Here is a 12,371-nt window from a genome sequence, read left to right on the forward strand (position 1 = left end):
CTAACTGGTTATTAGTGGTAACAAGTGTATTAATACTTTTTATGTTTTAAGCTCGTATCCACCATATTTTTTGATTCTCAAATTGTTTCTAGTGTTTTTAAAAATTGATTGTTTTGAGTATTTCGTCATATCATCCATAAATAGTGTTAGTTTTACCTTTTCTTTTCCAACACTTTAAAGGCTTTGTCTCATCTAATTGATGTGGTTGGCATATTTACAAAAAATATTAACATTGGAAATATTGGGTATCCTGATGTTTTTCACATTAGAGATGTTTTTCTCTATTAAGCATGATGTTGGCATTTGGACTAAAGTAGATATGTTTAATTATGTTGTGGAAATATCCACATATGCATAGTTCATTGAGTATTTCCACTAAGAATGATTGTTGAATTTTTCCAAATGCTTTTTAGCATTTTTGGAGATGATTATACAATTTTTATTAGATATACTAGTATAATTATTTAATATAATAAATTTTCTAATATTGAGCCATCTTTGCAACCCTGAATAAACCCCACATGGGTCAAGATACATCATTCTTTTAATGTGTTGCTGGGTTTCATTTGTTAGTATTTTATTTAAAAATTTCATAGCAATATGCTAGTCAGGTTGGACTGTAGTTTTTTGTCTACAATTTCTGGGTTTCAGCATTATTCTCACTCTTTTTCCATCTGAGTGGTCCTCCAGGACTGGTCTTTTGCCTTCATCTACAGGGCCCAAAGTGACTCCCTAGCACATCCTCACTCCAGCTAGCATGAAGGGGAAAAGAAGTAGTGGAAGAAATCAGCCCCTATTGTTAAGGAGAAGTCCCAATTTCATAATTGTACTTACATCTTAGTGTTCAGAAGTTACACCAAGATGCAGTGGAAGCTGATAATTGTTGTCATTATCATACACCTCTAACATGAAGTCTCTGATACACAGATTTATTAACGTGATTCTGTCCATTAGTCTGTCCTCCAGCTTTCCTTTGATTTCTTCTTATGTTTCAGTAGTGTTTTAAAGTCAACTTCATAAATATCTCACACATTTCTTGTTAATTGTCATTTATTCCTGTGCACCTTTTGTGGTGAGTTTTTTATTTCTCGGCAAAGTTTTGCGGCACTTTCCACTTTTTTTGTCTTTTATCAATGTCGTGCTAGTTTCCTCTTACTATTCATCGTTATGGGTAGTTCTTAAAAAAACAGTGAAGCCCTAACCCGCAGTAGTTCAGCAAGCTATGTTCTTTGAAAACAGGTTATTTATAAAGTAATCAAGTTAAATTGAGGTTATTAGGATGGATGCTGATCCAATATGACTGATGTCTTTACTAAAAGGGGGAATTTATCCCATTACTAAGTAAATATCCAGAGGAATATAAGTCATTCTACCATAAAGACACAAGAATGTGAGTGTTCACTGCAGCACTATTCACAATAGCAAAGACATGAAATCAACCTAAAAACCCATCAGTGACAGAATGGATACAGAAAATGTGGTACATATACACCATGAAATATTATGCAACCAGAAAGACAATGAGATCATGTATTTTGCAGGAACATGGATGGAGCTGGAAGCCATTATCCTTAGCAAACTAATGCAGAAACAGAAAACCAATATCACTTGTTTCCACTTGTAAGTGGGAGCTAAATGGTGAGAACTCATGTACAGAAAGAAGGGAACAAGAGACACTAGGGCCTACTTGACAGTGAAGGGTGGGAGGAGGGAGAGGAGCAGAAAAAGTAGCTATTGGGTACTAGGATGAGTACCTGGGTGATGAAATAGTCAGTAAAACAAGACCTGTGCCATTAGTTTACCTATATAACAAAGCCTGCACATGTCACATGTACCCCGAACCTAAAATAAAAGTTAAAAAATGGAGAAATTTGGGCACAGAGACAAAAATGCATAGGGAAGATGATGGGATGATTCGCAGGGGAAATGCCATCTAAAGATTGAGAATTGGAAGTATGCTGCCATAAACCAAAGCATGCTGGGGCCACCAGAAAGTAAGAAAGGTAAGAAAGGATTCCTTCATAGGTTTCAGAGGGAACACAGCCCTGCCAACATCTTGATCTGAGACTTCCAGGCTCCAGAACTGTGAGACAATTAATTTTTGTTATTTTAAGCCACACGAATACTTAAGGTATTCGTTATGGCAGTGGTAGGAAACTTATTTATCTATCAATTATTGAGTTGGATTTTTCTGGATCAGCAATTTTCAGGGATTTATTTTTGTGTGTTTGGGGAGGGTTAATGGGGAACCAGGGCTGTATTCCAGCTTCACACCCTAACGACTCTCTTCTGTGCTGCTCCTTTAGGCACAAATTGCTTCCTGCAAATATGGTTCAGCTGTGTGGATCTCTGTGCAGCCCTATCGTTTCAGGTTGTCTTTACCAAATAAATCCAGGAAGACTTAGTCCACCAGCTCTTCTTGCCTCTTGCACCCATTTTTGTAAGCTTTGTACTTGCCATGTAAACCATGGTAATGAAAGTTCATTATTTTTAACCTCAGGATCTCTCTCTACTCTGTTTGCTTTTTGTTTTTTTAAACCTCTTCCCTTATTCCTTCTGTCCTTTCTCAGTTACTTTCGTAGCCCTATGCTTATTTTGAAGTGTTTAGATTATATATGTTATTGCAAATGGAGTATGCAGGGTTTTTGTTATTGTTGTTCTCTTTGTTGCTTTTCTGTCATTTACAGAAAAGCAAGATGCAGATTTCCACAGTCATGTTCTTGAGTGAAGACTCATGAAGAACTTTAAAAAACTTTGCAATGGTTAGGCCAGGCGTGGTGGCTTACGCCTGTAATCCCAGCACTTTGGGAGGCCGAGGCGGGCGGATCATGAGGTCAGGAGATCGAGACCATCCTGGCTAACACTGTGAAACCCCGCCTCTACTGAAAATACAAAAAATTAGCCGGGCGTGGTGGTGGGCGCCTGTAGTGCCAGCTACTCGGGAGGCTGAGGCAGGAGAATGGTGTGAACCCGGGAGGCAGAGCTTGCAGTGAGCCGAGGTCGCGCCACTTCACTCCAGCCTGGGCAACGGAGAGAGACTCCGTCCCAAAAAAAAGACCCAAAGCAAAAAAACCTCTGTAATGGTTAGAACAGAATTAGAGAATGCATAAGACTACGTGGTGACTTTGTATTTTTCTTTTAGCAGATATCTGATTGGAATAGTGGGAAATAATGGTGAGTTAACATACCAGGCCACTTAAAGAGAGCCACTTTGTCAATTTGTGTAGTTACAGAAACATCCCAATCCTGTTTCTCCTGAACACCACCCTACAGTGTCAGCACAGAACAAACCTCTCACAGATATGTCACTTTGGAAGGAGATTTTTAAATGCTGTCAAAAAAGGCTTGAGTCTTGTGAATAAATGGGCTTTCTGTAATTTTTTTGTTGAAAAGTTCAGCAGAATAAGTGCTTCTGATACTTTTTGACCTGGCATCAATGAAATCTTTTAGCAATCACTCCTTCAACGAATATTATATTTCTTGAGTGGGTTTAATGTGCTCAGCTCGTGTCTGAAGTGGGAGTTAAACAATAAGCAAAACAGACATTTCTATTCCCTTTGAAATCACAGTTTAATTTTGTTTGACAGGTTCTTACAGAAAAAGTCCCTGATAGGTTTGTTTTCAAAAGCAGAGCTAATACTTTTATTTCATGTTTCTTTTTATTAACTCCAGCAATAAAATGGTGAAGTCACTTTGTTACTTAGTCTCTGGAAGAATTAAATATGTTCCTATCTAATAGTTTTAAAAAATCCTGATAGCACTGTTATATTAAAGCTTTAGTTTTTTTCCCCTCTGAAAAATGAAGTCCCCACAGGATCCGGAACCAGGATTTAGAACTAGACAGACACAGTTTCAAATCCTGATCTCATCACTGGGAAGTTATCTGGCCTCTCTTGAGCTTTGATTCTCTTGGCTGTAAAATAAAAAAAATAATAAAACCAACCTTTCTAGCTTGGTAGGAAAATTCAGCATGCAAAACCATGTAAAACTCCTAGCATGGCACATAGGAAGAGGTCAGTAAATAGTGTCTATTTCAGATTTTATAATTGTCGTAGTTATTTATGACACTGTACCTTAAGTTAATCATATATTGTATACTCCAGGAATGGCCCCTAAGTGGCCTCCCTTCTACAGTCCTCTATTTTTATAGAGACTTTTTGAAATCATTATCTCTAACCCATACCCTTGTTTATTGCATTCTTCAGTTTTGTTCTTGTTGCTGTTAATGAAGATTTTTTAAATTTAATTTTGTGCTCTTGATTTTCTCTATTTAGTTAGCCTTTGGCCAATCGGTGATACTTAGGATGACTTCCTAGATGAGTAGACCTTGTAGCATAATTCTTTTTCTTTTCTTTTCTTTTTTTTTTTTTGAGACGGAGTTCACTCTGTCACACAGGCTGGAGTGCAGTGGCATGATCTCAGCTTACTGCAGCCTCTCCCTCCCGGTTCAAGTGATTGTCCTGCCTCAGCCTTCTGAGTAGCTGGGACTACAGGTGTGTGCCACCGTGGCTGTCTAATTTTTTTTTTTTTTTGTATTTTTGTAGAGACAGGGTTTTGCCCTGTTGGCCAGGCTGGTCTCAAACTCCTGACCTTGAGTGATCCTCCTGCCTCGGCCTCCCAAAGTGCTAGGATTACAGGCATGAGTCACTGAGCCCGGCTGGATAATTCCTTTTCAATATGTCCTCCTTGCAGGCAGAAGATCTTGCCAGAAGACTGAGAACCCAGGCTTCCAAGATGGCCACAGCTGCACCAAAGATCACAAGGTAATTGGTGGTTGCTTTCGCATCAAAAGCTATGCTGTGGTAATACATGTGAGGTATTTTGAATAGTAGGTTGCATAAGATGATTTTTCACATTTTCCTGTAAGGACTAAAGAGTACAGAAGCAATTCCAAATGGTGTCTTAATTCCAGGAACAGTCCAAGAAGGTGACAGGAATATTAATGCCAACTATGGTCCTGTACTTAGAAATACTTTTGATAGTCAAAGGTAAAAGTAGATACAGTTTGTTATAATGTTATAATCATGGTGATGAAAGACATAGTGATGTCAAAGAAAATAAGAAATTTTGGGAGTCTTGTATTGTGACCTAGTTCTGCTCTGTAAGTAAATAGATGAACTTGAGGGAACTCATTACATTTTTCTACATCTGTTTAATCAACAGAAATGTCAACTATAGTATAGTTAGAATCACAGACTGTCGAACCAGGCTGATGCAAATTGTTTTCCTATTTACCGGCTATTGAGCAAGTTAATTAACCTCTTTGTGTCTCAGTTTCCTTATTTGTAAACAGAGATAAGTAGTATCAACTTCAGAAAGTTATTATGAGGATTAAATGAGTTAATGAACGGAAAATGCTTGGAAGAGTGCTGAGTACATAGAAAGTGAGTGAGTGAATGAGTAAGTAACTACGATGACCCCCTCTTCAGGCTGCCATTTGGTAGAGGGCAAGGGAGTGGCTAGCCATCGAGTAAGACCATGCTTTGCACCCACCATCAGCAAGGCTCAAGATAGTGCCTGCGTCCTCAGAATAAGCCTTCCCTTCTGCAGGTATCTCATCTCCATCTGTGGGAACCAGGTATGAGGCTCTGAACAGTTCCTGCTCTGGCAAGACACCTCCACATCTTTCTCCCTCAAACATTCATAGCCTCTCTGCCATTTTATGCTTCTGGTACACCAGAAATAATATCACAATGCCCTGCATCACTGTTCATATATTTCTTGGTCTGTCCCATACTCTGGACTTGAATTCTTTAAGACACTAGACACTGTCTTTTCTGTCCCAATCTCCTCCTCCCCCATTTGCTGAAGCCCTAGAATTCTCTGTGAATCAGCAATAAAACCTTATCTTAAATTTCATTTGTCAACTTTCTCTTCTTCTTTTTGTTGTAACCAAAACCTGGCTCTATATAATACTATATTTCTACTGCCTTTTCTAATGTTGAGTGTTTTATTTCCCAGACCCCTCCTATCCTGGGATTTCTAGGCCCTTCTCCCTTTCTCCTCCATGGAAAACGCCCAGCTTGAATCTCATGTTCTCAGACTGTACTCTTTATCCATCATCTCACCTAACGTAATTAGTTTAATACCTCCCAGATTGCTAACTTTCATTCCCTGAACATTTTACCTCTTGGGTCACTCATTCCATCCAACTTCATTCTCATCATAATTCTGGAGAATTTCGACGTTCATTTGGGTAATTTTTAGTGATTTGTTGTGATAAATTGCTTGACCTCCTCTAACTCCTCTTTAGCCACTCAATCCCATGTTCTATCCTTGATCTTATCATACTCCTTACTGCAAACTCTCAATTGCAGACATTCTACTTTGCAACCACCACCTCTTGTTTCCCTGATTTCAAAAATAATTTGGTCTGACACGACCAATAATCCACTCACTGTAACCACTATAATGTTCTATTTTACAATCTTACTCTGCTTAAATTCCATGACTGTCATTATAACTTTGTTGCATAGATTCTAAACTTTATTAAGCTATCCAATGTATATGTGCTCTAGATTCCATCCTTTGTCTATCGATATTATCCTAGAATTTCCCTATTAAATCGTCATTTTTTCTTTACAAGATCATTCTTATCAGCATGCAAATATTCTGCAATTTATTCAATTAAAAAAACCCACCTTTTTGAATCCCAGTCTGTCTCAAGTTATCTTCTCATTATTCTCCCTTCTTTTACAGAAAAACTTGTTTAAGGCATTTTTTGTGCTTTATTCTGTACTTCCAATTTCCTCCTCTAATTTTTTCTTGAATCCATGCCAATCAAGTATTTTTTTACCACCATTCCACAGAAACTTCTCTTAAAGTTAAACCAATGACTTCCACATTGCTAAGTAAGAGGTCAATTCCAATCCTCTTCTAAATTGATTGATTGCAGCATTTAGCATGTTTGATCATTCACTTGTTTTTGAAACACTGCTTCCATAACACCCACCCTGTCTGTTTTCTTTTTCTCCTATATATTTTTTGCTCTTTCTTTGCTAATTCATTCTTATCTGTCTGACTGGTAAATGTTAGCGTGACTTAGAGTTCAGTCTTTGAACCCCCTTCTTCCTCTGTCTCTACCTCTTCCTTAGGTGATCTCATTTAGTTTTATGGCTTTAACTACTAAAGCCATACTATGTGGTGATGACTCCCAAATTTATATCTGCAGCTCTGACCCCTCCTCACCTCCAGAAACCTGTATCCAGCAACTTACTTGATATGTCATGTGGATAGTTAGAGACATCTCAAACTTAACATGTTCAAAACAATTCCTAATATTCATCTATAAACAATTATTAAACTATCCTCATGCCAACTTTCCCATAAATGGTAATTACATCCTTCGAGATGCTGGGTAGAAAGATTTTGGAGTTATCTTTGACTCCTTACATTCTCCTCCCACCCTAGTCTGTTAGAAAATTATGTTGGCTCTCTCCTCAAAATATATTCAGAATTCTATTTCTTATCACTTTTCATTCCATTTTTGTAGTCCAAATCTTCATCCTCTTTCACCTGGATTACTGCAATTGTTTCCTAACAGCTTCCCCTACTTCTGCAATATAGTCTGAGAATGGTACCCAAAATATGTTATTAAAATGTAAACCGGATCATCTTACATCTCTGCTCACAACTCTTTTATGTTTTGCAGTTTTCAAGTCAGCATGTCATCACATATCCTCCCAGTTCCTAAGAGCTCTCTACCTCTCTGCCCTCAGTCTCCATACTCCTTCTTTACTACTCTCTGCCCTCAGTCTCCATACTCCTTCTTTACTACTGTGGATTCTTCCCTCGTACATGATTAACTTTCACCTTGTCAGAAAGACCTTCCCTGGCCATCCTATCTAAAATTTCAACCTTCTCCCAACATTTCATGTCCCCCTTCCCTACTTTATTTTCTTCCCTTAACACTAACCAGTATCTAACATACTTATTTTTACTTACTTATATTGTTTATTACCTGCTTCACCCACTAGAAGGTAAGCTTCATGAGGACAGGGATATTTGTGTGTTTCTTTCACCACGGTGCTTGGAATAGAGCCTGGCACACAGTAGATAATCAGTCAATACTGAGGATATTATCTAATTCTAAGTGCATGTAGAACTCATAATCCTTATGCCTTACTGTCTTATACATAATTTTCAAAGCTAGAAAGAACCATAAAGATTATGTCATCTAATATGGTTTGACTCTGTGTCCCTACCCAAATCTCATCTTGAATTGTAATCCCCACATGTTGAGGGAGGGTGGCTGGTGGGAGGTGATTGGATCATAGGGACAGTTTCCCTCATGCTGTTCTCATGATAGTTATTGAGTTCTCAGGAGGTCTGATGGTTTTAAAAGTGGCACTTTCTCCTTTGCTCTCTCTCTCCTGCTGCCATGAGAAGACATGCCTTGCTTTCCCTTCACCTTCTGCCATGATTGTTAAGTTTTCTGAGGCCTCCTCACCTATGCGGAACTGTGAGTCAATTAAACCTCTTTTCTTCAAAAATCCCCCTTCTCAGGTGGTATCTTTGTAAGAGTGTGAAAATGGACTAATGCATCATTCAATTACTCTAATGTTGAGGATACTGAAGAACAGAGGTGAAGAGACTTGTCCATACCCATATGGATGGCAACAGAGTCTTGCCAAATTCCTTTATTACATGTCTTGTAGTAACCTCTATGTTCAGCGTTTACCTTAAGACTTACATAACTTCATCTAAAACTCTAGGTATTCACACCATAATTTTAATTTATGAATATTTTTCTTAAATGCAAAGTCTGCTAGTTACAAATGAACTCCCTTGAAGTCAGGAAAAAATGAAGTGTGCTCATTTGACACATCTTACTTACATGACACTAAGTACATTTATAGTTTGTGAGATTATGATTCTTCCATTCAATTTTTAAGACTATAAATTTTAGTATCTTCGTTATTCTTTATTACTGGGCTGTTTTTGATATTGTGGTTTACATATTTTGAATATACCTGTTATCTAAGGCTAACATTAAAAATTCCCATTGAATTTTCTTAGCACTTCTGTTGAAAATCAACTGATTAAAAATGTGAAGGTTAATTTCTGGAGTCTTAGTTTTATTCACTAAATGTATATGTTTATCCTTCTGCCAGTACCACATTTTCTTGATTACTGTTGCCTTGTAGTCGACTTTGAAATGAAAACATGTGAGTTCTTCAACTTTGCTCTTCCTTTTCAAAATTGTTCTGGCTACTCTTGGTGTCTTGTATTTTCATATGGATTTTAGAGTTGGCTTGTCAATTTCTGCTTGAAAGAAGCTAGTGTTTTGGTCAAGATTCAGCTGAATCTGTAGGTAAATTTGAGTTGTATTGCCATCTTAATAATTTTAAATCTTCCAATTCATGAGCATGGAATGTTTTTTCCTTTATTTAGGAATTCTTTATTTTTTTCCAACTGTGTTTTGTAGTTTTTGTATGCAGGTCTTGAACTTCTTTTAAGGTTATTTCTACTTATTTCATTCTTTTAAATTGAATTATAAACATAATTGCTTTCTCAATTTTATTTTTTAGGTTGTTCATTTCTGGTGCAGATAAATACAACTGATTTTTGTATACTGATCTTGTATCAGCAACTTGGCTGAACTTGTTTATTGGTTCATATATATATATACACACACACATATACATTTAAAAGTGAATTCCTTAGAAGTTTCTATATGCAAATTATATAATCTGGGAATAGATATAGTCTTACTCTTTCTTCCCAATCATATACATATTATATCTTTTCTTTTTGGCTTAATAGTTATGACTAGAACCTCTTGTCCAATGTTAAAGAGTTGTGGTGAGAGCAAACATCCTTGTATTGTTCCTGATTTGGGTGAAAACTTCAGCCTTCCATTGTAAAGTAAAATGTTACCTGTGGATTTTTAAATAGATACTCTTTATCAGAATTAGGAAATTCCCTTTTATTTCTAATGTTTATCTTTTATCGTGAATGATTATTGAATGTTTTTCAAATGTTATATTTTAACCTACTGAGATAATTGTATGGGCTTTGTCCTTTATTCTATTAATGTTGATTATTATATTATATTATATTATTGTATTAATATTGATTTTTGGATGTTAGACCAACCTTAAATTCCTAGGAGAAATCCCATTTTGTCTTGGTGTAGAAGCCTTTTTATATATTTATATATTTTTGAATTTGAGAATCCTTTTCTTTTGTTTATGATCTCATAAGTGATGTTTTTCTGTAGTTTTCTTTCTTTTCTTTTCTTATTATGCCATTGTCTGTTTTTGTTATTAGGGTAAAATGCCTCATAGAATCAGTTGGAAAGTATTTTATTCATGTCTACTTCTTGGAAAAGTTTGTGAAGGATTGGTATTAATTCTTTAAATGTTTGGTACCATTTACCAGTGAAGCCACTGGGCCTGAGCTTTTATTTTGAGAAGTTTTGACGTGACTAATTCAATCTCTTTACTCTAATTGGTCTATTCAGATTTTCTATTTATTTTTGAGTCACTTTTTGCTGGTCATATCTTCCCAGGAATTTGCCTATTCCACGTCGGTTATCTAATTTATTGGCATACTGTTGTTCATAGTATTCCCATATATATATATCTATCTTTAAGGTTATTAGTGATATCCCTTCTTTTATTTCTGATTTTAGTAATTTAAGTTTTTTATCTTTTTCCTTGATCACTCTAGCTAAACATTTTGTCAATTTTGTTGATATTTTCTTTTCTTTTCTTTTTCATTTTTAAGACAGAGTCTCACTCTGTTGCCAAGGCTGGAGTGCAGTGGCATGATCTCGGGTCACTGCAACCTCCACCTCCTGGGTTCAAGCGATTCTTCTGCCTCAGCCTTCCAAGTTGCTGGGATTATTATAGGCACCCACCACCATGCCCGGCTAATTTTTGTATTTTTAGTAGAGACAGGGTTTCACCGTGTTGGCCAGGCGGGTCTTGAACTCCTGACCTCAAGTGATCCACCTGCCTCGGCCTCTCAAAGTGCTGGGATTATAGGCATGAGCCACCGTGCCCACCCTGATATTTAAAAAAAAAAAAAAAATTTGTTTTGGCTTTATTAATCTTCTCTCTTATTTTCTGTTTTCTGTTTCATTTGTTTGCACTCAAATCTTTATTGTTTCTTTCTGCTTATTTGAGGTTTGTTCTTTTTTAGTACTTAAGGTGGATATTTAAATTATTGATTTGAGATGCTTTTTGTTTTTAATAAAGGTATATGTTTTTAATATATGTATCTTGCAGCTATAAATTTTACTGTAAGCCCTGCATTAGCTGCATTCCATAAGTTTTGGTATGTTGTGTTTGTTTTCATTTATATAAAGGATTTTGTAATTTCTCTTGTGATTTCTTCTTTGATCCTTTGGATATTCAAGAGTGTGCGATTTAATTTCCACATATTTGTGAATTTGCCAAAATTTCTTGCATTACTGACTTCTAATTTATCCCAACTGTGGACAGATAACATTTTAAGTATGATCTAAATAATTTTAAATTTATTTAGACTTGTTTTATGGCCTAACATATGGTCTAGCCTGGAGAATGTTTCCATGTGTGCTTGAGAAGAATGACTACTCTGCTATCGTTAGGCAGATTCTTCTATAGATGTCTGTTAGACCTGCTTGGTTCATAGTGTTGTTAAAGTTTCTGTTTCCTTTTTGATATTCAGCCTAGTTCTTCTGTCCAATATTGAAAATGAGGCATTAAGTGGTCTCCAACTATGATTGTTGAATTATCTCTTTCTCCCTTGCATTCTCTCGGTTTTTGCTTCATGTATTTTAGGGATCTATTAGGTGCATATATATTAACAATTATTATCTGTTCCTAATATGAAATTCACAGAATTCTACAAAACTGTAGGTTTTATTGCTCATTAGGAACGTAACTTGGCCTCCCTTTCCTCATCTTTAAAATGGTGAAAATAGTACCATGATGGGTGTAGTATGAGGAATAAAAATGCTTAGTAAATAGTAGGCACTCGATAAATAAGGTTTTTTTTTTCTCTTGTCTTTCAGAGATTGTTTTCTCATTGAGATTGCATTGTACCAGATTTGGTATTCCTTAGGGGATATGTTTATAATCTCTAATCATTGATACTCTTCCTATTAGGCTGAACAGAAGAAAATACTGCATTTAGCTCCTCAGCCAGACTGTGGGATGATGGAGTAATACTGCCATAGAATCCTTGGAAGACAGACTCCCTTTGATGTCTGTTGGTCTTTTCTGCTTTAGAATATAGGACAGGGACTGTCTAGATTATCTGCCATGAGGCAGTTATCAGTTACTGATTACCCCTTGATGATATTATGTCAAAGATTTTATTATCTTTTCGTCTTGGCTGTGGCAAATATAAGGCACCAAAAATGGAAGAAAAAATAGGCT

General features: G+C 36.4%; 1 long non-coding RNA gene across 1 annotated transcript in view; it reads left to right on the forward strand.

Annotated features, from left to right (window-relative positions):
* The first annotated feature begins 4,692 nt into the window (after positions 1 to 4,692).
* LOC124904198 (uncharacterized) overlaps positions 4,693 to 12,371 on the forward strand; it is a 31,473-nt gene continuing 23,794 nt past the window's right edge. Inside the window, exon 1 of the long non-coding RNA XR_007066164.1 lies at positions 4,693 to 4,763. This is a non-coding gene — a long non-coding RNA (uncharacterized LOC124904198). The remainder of the gene's footprint in view (positions 4,764 to 12,371) is intronic.

The sequence above is a fragment of the Homo sapiens genome, chromosome 1, assembly GCF_000001405.40.
Source record: "Homo sapiens chromosome 1, GRCh38.p14 Primary Assembly".
Classification (NCBI taxonomy): Eukaryota; Metazoa; Chordata; class Mammalia; order Primates; family Hominidae; genus Homo; species Homo sapiens.